This window comes from Homo sapiens, chromosome 10 (assembly GCF_000001405.40).
Source record: "Homo sapiens chromosome 10, GRCh38.p14 Primary Assembly".
NCBI lineage: Eukaryota > Metazoa > Chordata > Mammalia > Primates > Hominidae > Homo > Homo sapiens.
In genome coordinates, this window is record NC_000010.11 from 101,112,628 (window position 1) to 101,125,866 (window position 13,239).

General features: G+C 51.9%; 1 long non-coding RNA gene across 3 annotated transcripts in view, besides 1 other annotated feature; it reads right to left on the reverse strand.

The window, feature by feature from the left end:
* The window catches only part of TLX1NB (TLX1 neighbor), a 51,946-nt gene that overhangs the window by 23,307 nt on the left and 15,400 nt on the right, over positions 1-13,239 (reverse strand). The window contains exon 3 of one of the 3 annotated variants that reach the window (NR_130724.1): positions 2,073-2,613. The exons of the other annotated variants lie outside the window; for them this stretch is intronic. This is a non-coding gene — a long non-coding RNA (TLX1 neighbor). Of the gene's footprint in view, positions 1-2,072; positions 2,614-13,239 lie in introns of those variants that run through there. 3 annotated transcript variants of the gene reach the window in all.
* Positions 8,443-9,170: an enhancer, noted in NCBI's record as "H3K4me1 hESC enhancer chr10:102880827-102881554 (GRCh37/hg19 assembly coordinates)". NCBI's record gives its function as "activates a minimal SCP1, AML or CMV promoter by ChIP-STARR-seq in primed H9 embryonic stem cells {active_cell/tissue: H9 hESC(primed)}" and the evidence as "EXISTENCE:reporter gene assay evidence [ECO:0000049][PMID:30033119]".

Below are 13,239 nucleotides of genomic sequence, written 5' to 3' on the forward strand. Positions count from 1 at the left end.
TGGCCACCCAGATCCACGTGCCTCCTGCACAGAAGCACCTCACCTGGAGGGGTGAGGAGCAGAGAGGAGGAAGAGCACGGGGCAAGTTGGCGAGATGAGCCATATGGGCACATGTAGGGGAAAGTGCAGGCAACAGTATTCCTATGCTATTTTGGGGGTAAATGGATATATGTAATACTTGTCCCCAGATACTCATGCTTATACACACACAGGTTCTCACACACATGAAAACATTCTTAAAGCAGACACACCATACGGACCTGGGATTTCACCCACAGATGCCCACTCTCACCCTGCACCCTCAGCCCCCACGTCGCCCTGCTTCTCACACACACGTGCTCACTCTCACATGCTGGCCAGCTCCCAGCTTCTCTGGCTCAGGCTCTGAACAGAATGTGAATGTGATAAAATCGACAGCTGAAAACTGTCCTGAGAGCAAAGCTGTACTTTGTTGAGAAACCTGAGCCCTTATTGGAGGAATACAAGTGTCTGTGTCTGGGGGCTCGGGGAGAGGGGAGGTCGTGGGGTGGTCCCCCAGGGCGCCTGTGGCCACTGGGCTGTTTCCATCATAAAAAAAAATGATGAAAGGAGCCGGGCAGTGAGAGCATGGCTGTGAGTAAATAAAGCTGCCACCTTTGACCCTGGGAGGCCAGAGCTCATCCCAGAACGAATGCTCATTAGGGAGGGGGTGCTCAGGCCCAGCCCAAGTTCTCCAGCACCGGAGGCCCAAGGCCAGATTCCCAAGGGGGAGGGGATATGAGAACCCCTGTGTGAGGCTAGGGGACATGTAGAGGGAGTAGGGGGTGGAGAAAGGAACAGGGGATGTGGGAGGGGGTTGGGGACATTAGGGAGAGGATGATGGTCATGGGGGAGGGATGAGGACAGGTAGGAGAGCTCTGACTTCTGGCTCCCCCTCCCTGGACTCCTCTCTCTGCAGCCTCTCCAGGTCTCTTCCGCTCTTGGGCTCTGAAACAAGCATACATCTCCCTTCTCCTGCTGTAGGCTCGGTTTGCTTATTTTTCTGATCATCAGGAACTATAGGCAAACAGGGGTTAGCAAAAATAACAAACACAGGGCAAACTACAAAGTCACCAGGAATCCCAGAAAGGTTGAGAAGTGGTTGATTCTGGCTTTGATTCAGAAATAAAAGAATTGGCCAGGCATGGTGGCTCATGCCTATAATCCTAGCACTTTGAGAGGCCGAGGCAGTTGGCCTGCTTGAGCTCAGGAGTTCGAGACCAGCCTGGGCAATGTGGCAAATTGAAGAAAGAAAAAGGAAGGAAGGAAGGAAGGAAGAAAGGGAGGGAGGGAGGGGAGGGAGGGAGGGAAAGAAGGAAAGAAGGAAGGGGAGGGAGGGAAGGAAGGAAAGAAAGAGAGGGAGGGAAGGAAGGAAGGAAGGAGAGGGAGGGAAGGAAGGAGAGAGAAAGAGAAAAAGAAAGAAAGAAGAAAGAAAGAAAAGAAGGAAGGAAGAAAGGAAAGAAAAGAAAAGAAAAGAAAAGAAAGAATTGCCAAACCCACATCCTATGGGTCTGTCCCAAACTCCTTTCCTACAGATCTGTTCAGCTCAGCACCAGACAGTCCTGGCCTGGAGCAAAACTCAATAAAGTTGGCTGCATAGATAAATAAGTGGATACATAGATAAATGCATGGGTGGATGAATGAAAGAAGGGTCTTGGTCATCAACCCCGACTCTGTCTGAGTTCAAACTTCAAGCACTTATGTGGGGCTGGCCTCTCGGTGGGGCCAGGCAGGATCCTCTTCCCCTTCTCTGCAGCTGACCTCTGGGCCCCCCTCCCCCCAGGGCTGACATTTCACTTTATTCTGTAGTCACCTTGGCTCTTACAGGCTCACCTGGTCCAGTCTCAAGAGAAGAAAGCACTTTGCGATGTGGCTCTGAAAGACCCCTGCCCTGCATGTCTCTTCATCCTCTGTGGACCCAGCAGCCACTCCCTTTGTTCCTCCCAGAGGCGACTATGTGGCCACTAAGTAGGTCCTGGAAAGTCCTATTTCGGCTAATTTTAATGAGTGATATAATAATAAAATGTAGCAATAAACTGAGTTTTCACCAAAAAGACAAGACTCCCAGGTTTTTATATCAGGACATAGGGGCAACAGTGACAAGAAACAGATCAGTATACTTCCCACCCCTGCCACCCCATCTGTCCCTGACTTAGAAGGAGGAATAGAAAGAGGAAGTTCAAGAAAAGCATCCCTATTTTTCTGTAAGGGTGAGGTTGCTGGAGGAAGTCCAGCACAAGGACACTCCAGGCAGAACAGAGTTATTGGGAGGCCAGTCCTCGGCTGGGGGGGCTGTCTCTGTCCCGTAAGACATGCCTGCAGCCACATGCCCAGAACTTGGCCTTTCTTTATGCCCCAGACACAATGCTTATTTTCCCTGAATCCCTGAGAGTGACCTGGCTGGGTCTTTGTCCCTGGGGGAAATAGGGAAGCTGAACCCCCAAGTGGGGAGGAGGAATCCAAGGTAGCTGACCCCTGTGTGTTCCCACTGGATGCTTGGTCTGCACCAACGGCCCCCTCCTGGCCAAATTTCTCTTGCTGCATCAGATGAAGGAGAAAACCAGGTGGGTTCAGCTTCAAAAACCAGCCAAAGACCTAGGAGACAGAGGCATCACAGAAGTCAATCACCATTTTCTGCCTCCCCTGTTAGAGTTCCCTCAACTCAACTCCAGCCTGAATCATCGCCAACTTTTCCTAAGTTACTCTGGGACAGACACTATTCTGTGGGCTTTACATGAATTTAACCCTCACAGGAGGTCTATGAAGAGATGCTGTAATTATCCCCAATTCCAGATGAGAAAACTGAGGTCTAGAAAGTCAAGTTACTGGTCCAAGGTCACCCAGTTATTATAATTATGATTATGATTATTATCATTATTATTATTATTATTGAGATGGAGTCTCGCTCTGTCATGAGGCTGGAGTGCAGTGGCGCGATCTCAGCTCCCCGCAACCTCCGCCTCCCGGGTTCAAGCAATTCTCCTGCCTCAGCCTCCCGAGTAGCTAGGACTATAGGCACCTGCCATCACTGAGCCCAGCTAATTTTTTTTATTTTTAGTAGAGATGGGGTTTCATCATGTTGGCCAGGATGGTCTCAATCTCTTGACCTCGTGATCCTCCTGCCTCAGCCTTCCAAAGTGCTAGGATTACAGGTGTGAGCCATGGTCCCAGCCCAGTTTTTATTTTTTTATTTTTATTTTATTTTATTTTTTGAGACAGAGCCTCGCTCTGTCGCCCAGGCTGGAGTGCAGTGGCGCAATCTCGGCTCACTGCAACCTCTGCCTCCTGGGTTCAAGCAATTCTCCTGCCTTAGCCTCTGGAGTAGCTGGGATTACAGGCACACACCACCACACCTGGCTAATTATTGTGTTTTTAGTAGAGACTTGTTGGCCAGGCTGGTCTCAAACTCCTGACCTCAGGTGATCTGCCTGCTTCAGCCTCCCAAAGTTCTAGGATTACAGGCGTGAGCTACCGCTCCCGGCCTTGCCTGGTTTTTAAGTGGAGGATTGGAATTGGCACCCCAGCAATCTGGCTTCTAGGTGGCTGGCAGGTATCTGAGTCTGGTTTGGGGACAGGAAAGCACAGGCTCAGGATCAGATTGGAAGATGAGTGAGTATCCCCAGCTAGCTGCCCTGGAGCTCTGCTGCCAGGACCCCCATTGGACCCACAGCAGGTAGAGGCGCAGCCCTTTCACAAGCAGCACCAAGGTCTCCTCTGTGCTGACAGAAAGGTGCAAACACATCCCTCTCCCTTCCCCGTTTTACTGAACTCTTACCTTCTCAGCAACAAAAAACTTCATCAACATTAAACACCACCATGATGTATGTTTATATCACTCATAATGCTTCATCTCTTGATCTTATTAAGGTTAAAACCAGCGGTGGCTCACACCTGTAATCCCAGCACTTTGGGAGGCTGAGGCAGGAGGATTGCTTGAGCTCAGGAGTTCGAGATCAGCCTGTGCAACATGGTGAAACCCTGTCTCTACAAAAAATACAAAAATTAGCCAGGCATGGTGGTATGCATCTGTAGTCCCGGTTGCTCGAGAGGCTGAGGTGGGAGAATCGCCTGAGCCTGGAAGTTTGAGGCTGACGTGAGCTGCGATCACACTACTCCACTCCAGCCTGAGCAACAGAGTGAGACACACACACAAAAGCTAAAACCTGTGCTTTTTCTGAGTATAGCCCATAAAAATATATCATCTTCTTCAATTTTTTAAAAATTTAACTTTGCATTGTTTGTTGTTGTTTTGAGATAAGTTCTGGCTCTATCGCCCAGGCTGGAGGGCAGCGATGCCACCTCGGCTCATTGCAACCTCCACCTCCCAGGCTCAAGCCATCCTCCCACCTCGGCCTCCTGAGTAACTGAGACTACAGGCATGGCACCACCACACACAGCTAATTTTTGTATTTTTTGTAGAGACGGGGTTTCACCATGTTGCCCAGGCTGGTCTCAAACTCGTGAGCTCAAGCAATCTGCCCAGCTCAGCCTCCCAAAGTGCTGGGATTACAGGTGTGAGCCACTGCACCCAGCATGCATTGTTGGTTTTTAATTTTTTTTTTAAATTAAGACAGGGTCTCGTTCTGTCACCCAGGCTGGAGTGCAACGGCACAATCACAACTCCTGGGCTCAAGCAATCCTCCCACCTTAGCCTCCTGAGTAGCTGGGACTACAGGCATGCGACACCATGCCTGTTTGCCTATTGTTTTGTTTTTGTTTTTGTTTTTTGTTTTTTGTTTTTCTGTACAGAGACAGGGTTTCGCCATGTTGCCCAGGCTGGTCTTGAACTCCTGGGCTCAAGTGATCTGCCCACCTTGGCCTCTCAAAGTGCTGGGATTACAGGTGTGAGAATTCCCCAATTCCCTGCCTAGCCTATTTTTATTTTTATATGATATAAAATAACTTAAATTTATTTTTAAATGGTAAGGCTTTTCTCAACACAATTTATTGGTAATGTTCTTTTCCCCATTTTCTAACACCTATATTAAATTCTTAGGTGTGATTATGTTTATTTCTAGGCTCTATTCTGTCCCATTGATTTAAGTGCCAATTTTGATGCCTACGCTACATTGTTTCCATTTAATTATCCTATAACAAAATGTTTTAACATCTGGTCAAACTTGCTCTTCTTTAGAAAATTATTTGACAGGTTCACCTATTTACTCTTTCATGTGAAATGTAGAATCTTTTTATTTTTCTGAGTTTCAAGAAAATGAGTTTTTGTTTAGTAGGGCATCAAGTCTATGAATTGCCTTGGGGAATACTGATATTTTATAATGCATGGCGTCTTCACCTAGAATGTGGCACATCACACCATTTTCCTGTGTTGTGTTTAGCAGTTTGATGGGCTGTGTGCTATTCCTTTGTGCTGATGTCCCCTAGCTGACTTAACCACTTCCCCAGTGTTGGGTATTTGGATTGTTTCCAAGGTGGAACTATTATGAATAGCGCTGCTATAAACATCTTTGTACAAATTGCTTTTTCATTTCCTTGGGATATGGTCCCAAAAGAGGGATTAACTGATCAAAGAATATGAACAGTACTGTATTTTTTGTTACATAACCCAGGGAGGATGGAACCAATTAGCAGCAACATATGAAGAAATAGCTACTTTTCCCTTACAAACCCTCAAGCAGCATGAAGACTTAAAAGGGTAACTTGTTCCTAAGAGAAAAAAAACACAGCTACCTGAGGACAAAAGTGGGAGTTTGAGAGCACAGGGTTCTTTTTTTTTTTTTTTTTCCTGAGACAAGAGTCTCTCTGTTGCCCAGGCTAGAGTGCAGTGGCACGATCTCTGCTCACTGCAACCTCTGCCTCCCAGATTCAAGGGATTCTCGTGCCTCAGCCTCCCATGTAGCTGGGATTACAGGCATGTGCCACCACACCTGGCTAATTTTTGTATTTTTAGCAGAGATGGGATTCGCCTTGTTGGCCAGGCTGGTCTTGAACTCCTGGCCTCAAGTGATCCGCCCGCCTCAGCCTCCCAAAGTGCTGGGATTACAGGCATGAGCCACTGTGCCTGGCCTTCCTTTCTTTTTTCAAAGTCCACACCCCACTGGAGCCTGCCCACTAGGTTCCTACTTCCCATTTTAAGCTCTTCAGTTGGCTTACAGAGTGCAGATGATGGGCAGGTTCTGATTCCAATGAATAGGCCACGCCCCTCAGCACAGATTTTTGCTCTTCCTACTTCTCCAGGTCCTCTGGGATGACTCATAGCCCAGGTACCTTCTGGGGAGTGGTTTTTACCAATACTGTCGTACAATTGCACAAGGCCCAGATAGGTTGAACACATTATAATATGTACACAGAATTCCCATCAAGGATAAGAGAAGCCACGTTTCTCAACCCTGGCAAACTCCGGGATATTCCATGGCAGCATCACCTTTGGAAACAATGCTTGGCGTATGGGTTGGTTGTGTATTTATGTGTGCGTGTTCTTTTGTGTGGACATGCACACCTGTGTGGTTGTATGCATCTCTGAGTGCATGCTTTTCAGTGGGGGATAGTACAGATGCATGTCTGCATAGCTGGACCCATGACTTCAATGATGGTCAATGTGTTATGCTTACGAGTTTGCATACACATTTTTGAGAGTGAGGAGTCTGTATGTACCTCTGAGTGTGTGTGTGTGTGTGTGTGTTTGTCTATACATCATGTACAAGTCATGTGAAAGGCCTGGTTAGGAAGGTTTCCCATACCCAGAGCACTTAGAAAAGACTCGGGAGGGACACTGGCTAGGGGAGGTGGGGTAAAGAGAAGGTCTAATCCTTCATAAATAAGCAGAGGGATGTTGTGGTCAGTCAGAAATGTCTCCAGGCAGATTCAGGCAGGTTTTCAGTATTTAGCAAAGTCACTTGTAGCCCAGGGCAAGAATGGTGGGTGGGAGTTGGGGGTAAGTGTGTGCTGGCCAGATTAGGTCTAGCCCCAGTTTTAAGGGGCAAGGGATAGAAGAATATAGTAAAGCATTCGCTGTCCCCCCATCCAACAGGCTCTGGGCCCCATCCTGTCCCCTATGGCCTTCCAAAGGCCGGACAATTCTACCTTGATGGAGAGGTGGTGGCTGCTGGAAAGGGCCTCCAGGAGGCCTACAAAGAGGCCTTGCTCGTGCCCCTCACTCTTCTGCTTGCTCCAAAATCAGAGAGGCCTCCTTCTTCCAGAAGCTGCTTAAAGGTTTCGCTGACTTCAGAAGCAAGGAGGAGGAGGGAAGAAGCAGAGGAAGCCTCTGAGGTGGGGAAACTTTTGCTGAGATTGCAGGCTCCCCAGCCCCTCCCTGGTTCCTCATTACTGAGTCCTTGGGCATGAAATGTCTTTTTATTTGAAGGCCAAGAAGAACCAGGGGTTGTGTTAATGACCAGCAAGCAGCAGGGCAAGAAGTAGGCAGGGGGCTGGCTCTCTTGACCTTGAAATCCTGTCTGCACTTTTCTGCTGTGCAGATCCCCTATTTTCCCAGATCTCTGTCACCTTAGCCCCGCCCTCTTAATGGGACCCTAAAGAAGACTCAAGAAGAGGGGTTAGGGAGGCAAGAAAGGCACACAGTGTCTGAGGAACTCATCAACTGAGTCTGGAAAATTGAGCAGGGCTGAACCAGAAGGGATGATATACATCTTACATAAATTTCAGTGCAGTCACAAGAAAGAAAGAAAAACAGAGATAGCCCAATAAATTAGGAAACCTTTACACTGTTTCGGCTTGATGAATTAGAAGACAGAATCCACTATACCTCTCATAAGCAAGAAAAGCAAGAGTTAGAGCAGTTAATGGATCTGTTTACAAACATACTATAAAAGCAGTGTGACTACAACTCTGTGTCCTGTGACTAGACCCATGTCTCTGTGACTCTGAATCTACGATCCAAAAAAGGATTGTTTTGTTGTGTTGTGTTTTTTGAGACAGAGTCTCTATCTGTCACCCAGGTTGGAGTGCAGTGGCACAATCATGGCTCACTGCAGCTTAGAGCTCCTGGGCTCAAGGGTCCTCCCACCTCAGCCTCTGGAGTAGCTGGGACTATAGGGATGCGCCATCATGCCTAGCTACTTTTCTATTTTTATAAAGATGGGGTCTTGCTATGCTGCCCAGGCTACCCTTAAATTCCTAAGTTCAAGCGATCCTCCTATCTTGGCCTCCCAAAGTGCTGAGATTACAGATGTGTACCACTGTGCCTGGCCAAACACAGTAGTTTTTAAAAATTGTGTGCTCTTGGCCACTTGAGGAGGGACTCATGAACTGTGCTCTGAGAATGTGCAGGGAGGCGGAACTTTGATTTCGTTTTTGAAGTAGGAGTAGAAATTTTCTTTCCTTTTGGCGGGGCTGCGCATAGGGAAAGGGGTTGTCAGGGCTTTGCACCCAAGGGATGACTGGGGAAGGTGTGAGCGTTTCTATCAGTTGGTACAACAGGGCAAAGGGCAGCCAGCGACTGGGGCAAGGTACTACCGATGAAACGAAAGTAAGTGCAGCGCCTTGAATGGAGGGGGAAGGGATTTGGATCCCCACCGCCAAGGCAATGCGAAGCCTTGAGCAATTTCTGAGTGGGGGAAGAACACGGCCTGTACGCCCTTTAGGGGAGAAAACTTGGGCCCCTCCCAGCAGTGTGGATTCGGAAGAGAGGGGCTTAGCACCAGCTGGGACTAAACTGCTGCAGAAATAGACGATAAATGGAGGTAAGGGTGCCGATGAGGCTCCCGGCGTCGGTGAGGCTGCCTCCGGAGAAGGGGCGCAGGGGGAACTCCTGGCCAAGAGGCCTGGAAAGGCTGGGAACCCAGCACCCCTGAGAAAGGGCGCAGGCCGCGGCCCCCAGCGTGAGGCGGCCACGCTTCGCTTCGGCAGTTCTTACAGAGCGCGCGTCCCGGAAGCCGCGGGCTCTGCGTTCTGAGCCTCGCACCTCATTGAGAGGTTATTAATAGGGAGTTTGTCTGGTGTCAGAGCGCAGACATAAACTGCATTAGCATTACCCCATAATCTTATTTTGTAAACGCTCATGCCGTTCCGTCTCCTGTAATTGCATTGGGAAGATGCAATATTTATGAAAGGGGAGAGGGGAATGTCACTGTTCATCTCGGTGCTGCAGTAAAAGTCCCAGGAAAGACGGTGCTGGCCGCCCAGGCCTGGCGGTGGGCCTGCGAGAATACCCAGCGTTGGTGCCGCGCGCCCTCTGGGTGTCCCGCTGGCTGCCCCCAGCCCAGAGCTCCCTCCTCAACCTACCTCACTGAGCCTTGGGCAGCAGTGGAGGATGTGCCGGCAGGGGCAGCAACCATGTCTCCCCGTGGTGTTATCCCTCCCAGATGGTGGTCCCTGGCGAATGGGGCACAAAGATCTGAGATGCACTGAGTCTTTCTGGTGGGTGGGAGGCTCAGGCTTCGCCTAGCTCCCACCCTTAGTCGGGGTTTTCTTTTGCCAGGAGGCAAACCTACTCCAGAGCTGAGTGGGGTGGGGCTAAGGGTGGCAGTGGAGGTGAGAAAGTGGGTGATTTGGTCAAGTAGGGGCAGGGGGGCAGTAGAGGGCAGCAGCAGGTGGGAGGCACCCCACCAGGGGTCCTGGCTGGGGCTCTGTTGGCCACTGGGATTATCCTGAAAACCCAGTGCAGCCAGGGATTCCTAGGATGGTTTCCCTCTTCCACAGCCCTAAGAGCCCCGAACTGGATCCCTAGGGCACCTCATATGTACACTCAGTCCAGAACCAGGTCTCCGGCTTCACAGTGGAGAAGGCAAAGTTGCCCGTGGGACTCAGGGGCATGCCCCGTGCCCACCCCGCCTGAACATTCTGGTCTGCACCAATCTTGGGTGGAGCTCAACAGCCAGGGAAGTCTCACTGGTGTCCAGAACACCTCTGAGTGGGTATCTGCTGGTGACAAGCTGAGACTCTGGTCTGCCCCCAGGCACTTGCAGTTCAGGGACAGACACACAAAGTCTCTGCCCTAGGAGCTGCAGGCGACCTAAGTCAGAGGAGTTATTTCCCAGCCACATATCGGAGGCTTCCTGTGTGTTGTGGAGAGGGTGGGGGGATCTGTGAGCTTAACCTCAAAAGGGCTACAAGTATTGGAACAGTCCGGATATCAAGGATGTCAGGAGTGGAAGAGCTGAACAGACACTGCTGGTGCTTCATCCCAGGAAGGTGGAGCCCATGGCGGGTAGGGGAGAATGGGAAAAGTGAGGTGCCAGGAGCCCCACTGTAAATTGCCGGTGGTCGGGTCGAGGGGTGAGGTGGCTGCAGAAATCTGGGCCGACAGGAGGGCAGATAACAGGCAGCGACTTTATGTGGGCCCCAGGGCAGTGCCGGGACTCAGGCCCAGCTCCCTGGTTTTGGGGCTACTGTGGCCCCCAGGGATGGGAGCTTGGTCTCCTTACAAATCCCATCCATGCGTCACTACAAACAGCTCTAATAATTCCTGCCCTGCAGTACCTGTGCACTTTACCATATCCACACCCCCCAGCATCCCACCCCACTGGCAGGGGCTGACAGCTCTGGTGCTCTTGCACTCTTGGGCACATGGCCGCACACCCAGACCCACTCGCTCATCTCAGACTCATACCACACTCAGGAAGGCCCCTAACTGGTCTAATTCCCAGCAGTGGCCTTCCCCGCACCCGCCCCTCGCCCCTCCCCGCTCTAGCTTCCCGACTTTCGTGGGGAAGGGGCACCGGAACGCAGGGCAGCTGAGAAGGACCGGGCAGAGGAGAGCGACGGCCCCTCCCGGTGTCAGCTTCCTCGCCGCAGTCCCATTAATCACAGTGCCGCAGTCCAGTTGGGGATCCCGGGCGCCCAGGGCCGCCCGCAGCCCCAGGGACAATGGGATTATTTCCGGGGAGAGAGGCCGCCTCGGGCCGGGGCTCAGGCGGAGACGCCTCCTTCCCTCAATCCGTCCCTCGGCACCCAAGGAGCGCCTGCGGCGGCCGGAGACGAGTGGCAGAGCGGACGCGGGTGGCGCGCGGGTGGCAGGGCCTGGCCGACCTAATTCAATTAGCTGGGCCGCCGCCGCCTCCGTGCGACTCTGGGCCCGCCGGGACTCCAGCTCTGGGCAGCTGCTCTTTGTGCACGAAGACCATGCATATGGATGCGGTTCCTCCCCCTTCGGCGCTCACCCCACCCACACCCACTTCTGGCACCTGCGGCTTGCCCCGCCCTCCCACTCCTTCCCCGCGAGGGAAGGCGACCGTGGCCTCCCCAGGAAAGTTGGGAAACTGTGGTTGCTTTTGAGCTCCCTGTGGCCGTCTTCAGAGTATGTGTGAGAGGGGAGGGGGTGGTTTTGTTTTTTTGTTTTGTGTTATCTGAGCAGGAAGGTCTGTGTGGAAGTGAGCGTGCCTGTAAGTCTGTAGGAGTGTGGTTAGGTGTGTCTGTGTGTACCTGTGCACCAGCATCCATAGGGCTGTGTGCACGGAGGGAGAGGGTTTCGTTTGGTTCTGGATCTGTGCTGCAGAGACTGAGTGGGATGGATGTGTTTGTGGGCATCTGCACATGAGTGCATGAAGGAGGCTTTGTGAGCACGTGTGGGGACTGCACACCGAGGAGTGTCTGCGTGTTCCTGTGCAAGGTGAGTGGGCATCTGTGCATCTGCGTGTGAGAGTGTTGCCTCTGTGCCAAGCCTGTGTCTGGAAGTCTTCAGGAGTTGGGTATTTCTGTGTGTCACCATTGGTGTATATGCTGTGCTTCAGTGTGTAGTCAGGACACCATGGGGAACATGTTAACCTCCCCGCCCCAACTACCACCGGCCAGCAGATGGGTCTCCCCAGCTGAGGCCATTTTCTCCACCGCTCCCCACCCCGCCTTGCTTTTCTGGTGGAGGAGGAGCTTGGCAAGTTAGTATCAAACCTGAACTCCATCCACCAGGCTCGGGTGGAGGCAGAGTCCTAGGTAGCCAGGCTCTCTCATCTTGAGGAGGTGTCCCAGTCAGTTTTCCACTCCCAGCACAGTCCAGCCCTGGCTCAGCAGGAGCCTGCAGCTTCCAATGTGCAAACAGTCCTAAGCACCCCCTGAAATAACTAGACCTGCCTCTGTCAAGGTGACCCTAGCACGTAGGAGGGACTGCATGACCCCCACCTCCACCTCTTCAGCCACAGTTCAGGATTGGGTCCCCTGGGAGGCTGGGTTTCCTGTGCTTGGGCATCTCCACCCACCCTTACTCTGAGGCCAAATCTGCACGCCCAGCAGAGGCGAGGAATTGAGATGAGAAATCTGGGTAGAGCTGGCCACTGCAGGGCCGTCACCCACCCAGCTGGAAAGCTTGCCTCATTCCTCTGTTTTACTGTGCACAGGCAAAGTGAGGGATCTGCACACCTGTAGAGGTCCTTTCTGCAGACCGCAAAGGGAGCTGGCCAACCCCAGGAAGGAATAGGATGGTTCTTAGAAAGCAGCGGGGCCCTCAGAGGCCTGGTCCCACAGCAGGCTGGTGCTCTCTTGGCTTCTTCTCCGTCCCCTACACCTTAGTGCAGGGCTTGGCTTCTGGACCCAGCACAGACCCACCTGGCCAGCAGAGTGGAGCCAAGGGAGACACGAAGGATGAGAGAGGTTGGGGCTGGTCCACAGCCCTGGGTCCTAGGCTCAGCTGCCCTACTGATGGGACCCACTGATGGGACTCTGAACTCCGTGCCCAGGGAGCCCTTTGAGAGCTGTCTGGGGGAGCAGGGCCCTGGGGGTCTGTCCTTCCCTGAGCCTTCTCTTAGCCTACTCCCTACCTGCCCCTTTCCAGGTTTCTGGCATCCTTGGAGGTGACTCAGGATGGGAGATTCCCTAATCAAGGCCACCATGGTCAATACAGTGCTGGATGGATGGTGGAATCTGAGGATCTCTGGGCCTCTCTTGGGAGGGAATTAGTCAGAGAGAGGCCTGAAGCCTTAGCTCAATGCCCAGGGGTAATGAGGCCAACAGCTTCCTTTAGGGTCAGAAGCCGAGCAGGGAGGGGAGACAGTGAAGGGAAGGGATCCCTACAGAAGCACCCTATTTCTGAAGCATCCACCTGCTGGGCTCTGATTGAGAGGAATGGGCAGGGGAGGAGAAGAAAACTCCGTACCCCTACACAAGGTGACAGCTAAGTGTGGCCTACAGCAGGGACATGTCTGTCTCCTGTCTGTCTGTCCTTTATCCATTCAGGGTCTCTCCACTGATGGGAAAATGTGTGCCTGTCCATTGGTGTTGGAGAGGTCCTCCATATCTTATGTAAGAATTGGGTAGGGGGACAGGGGGCTGGCCTTGGAACAACCCCCCCAACCCCGAGGACTCATTGAGCTGAGT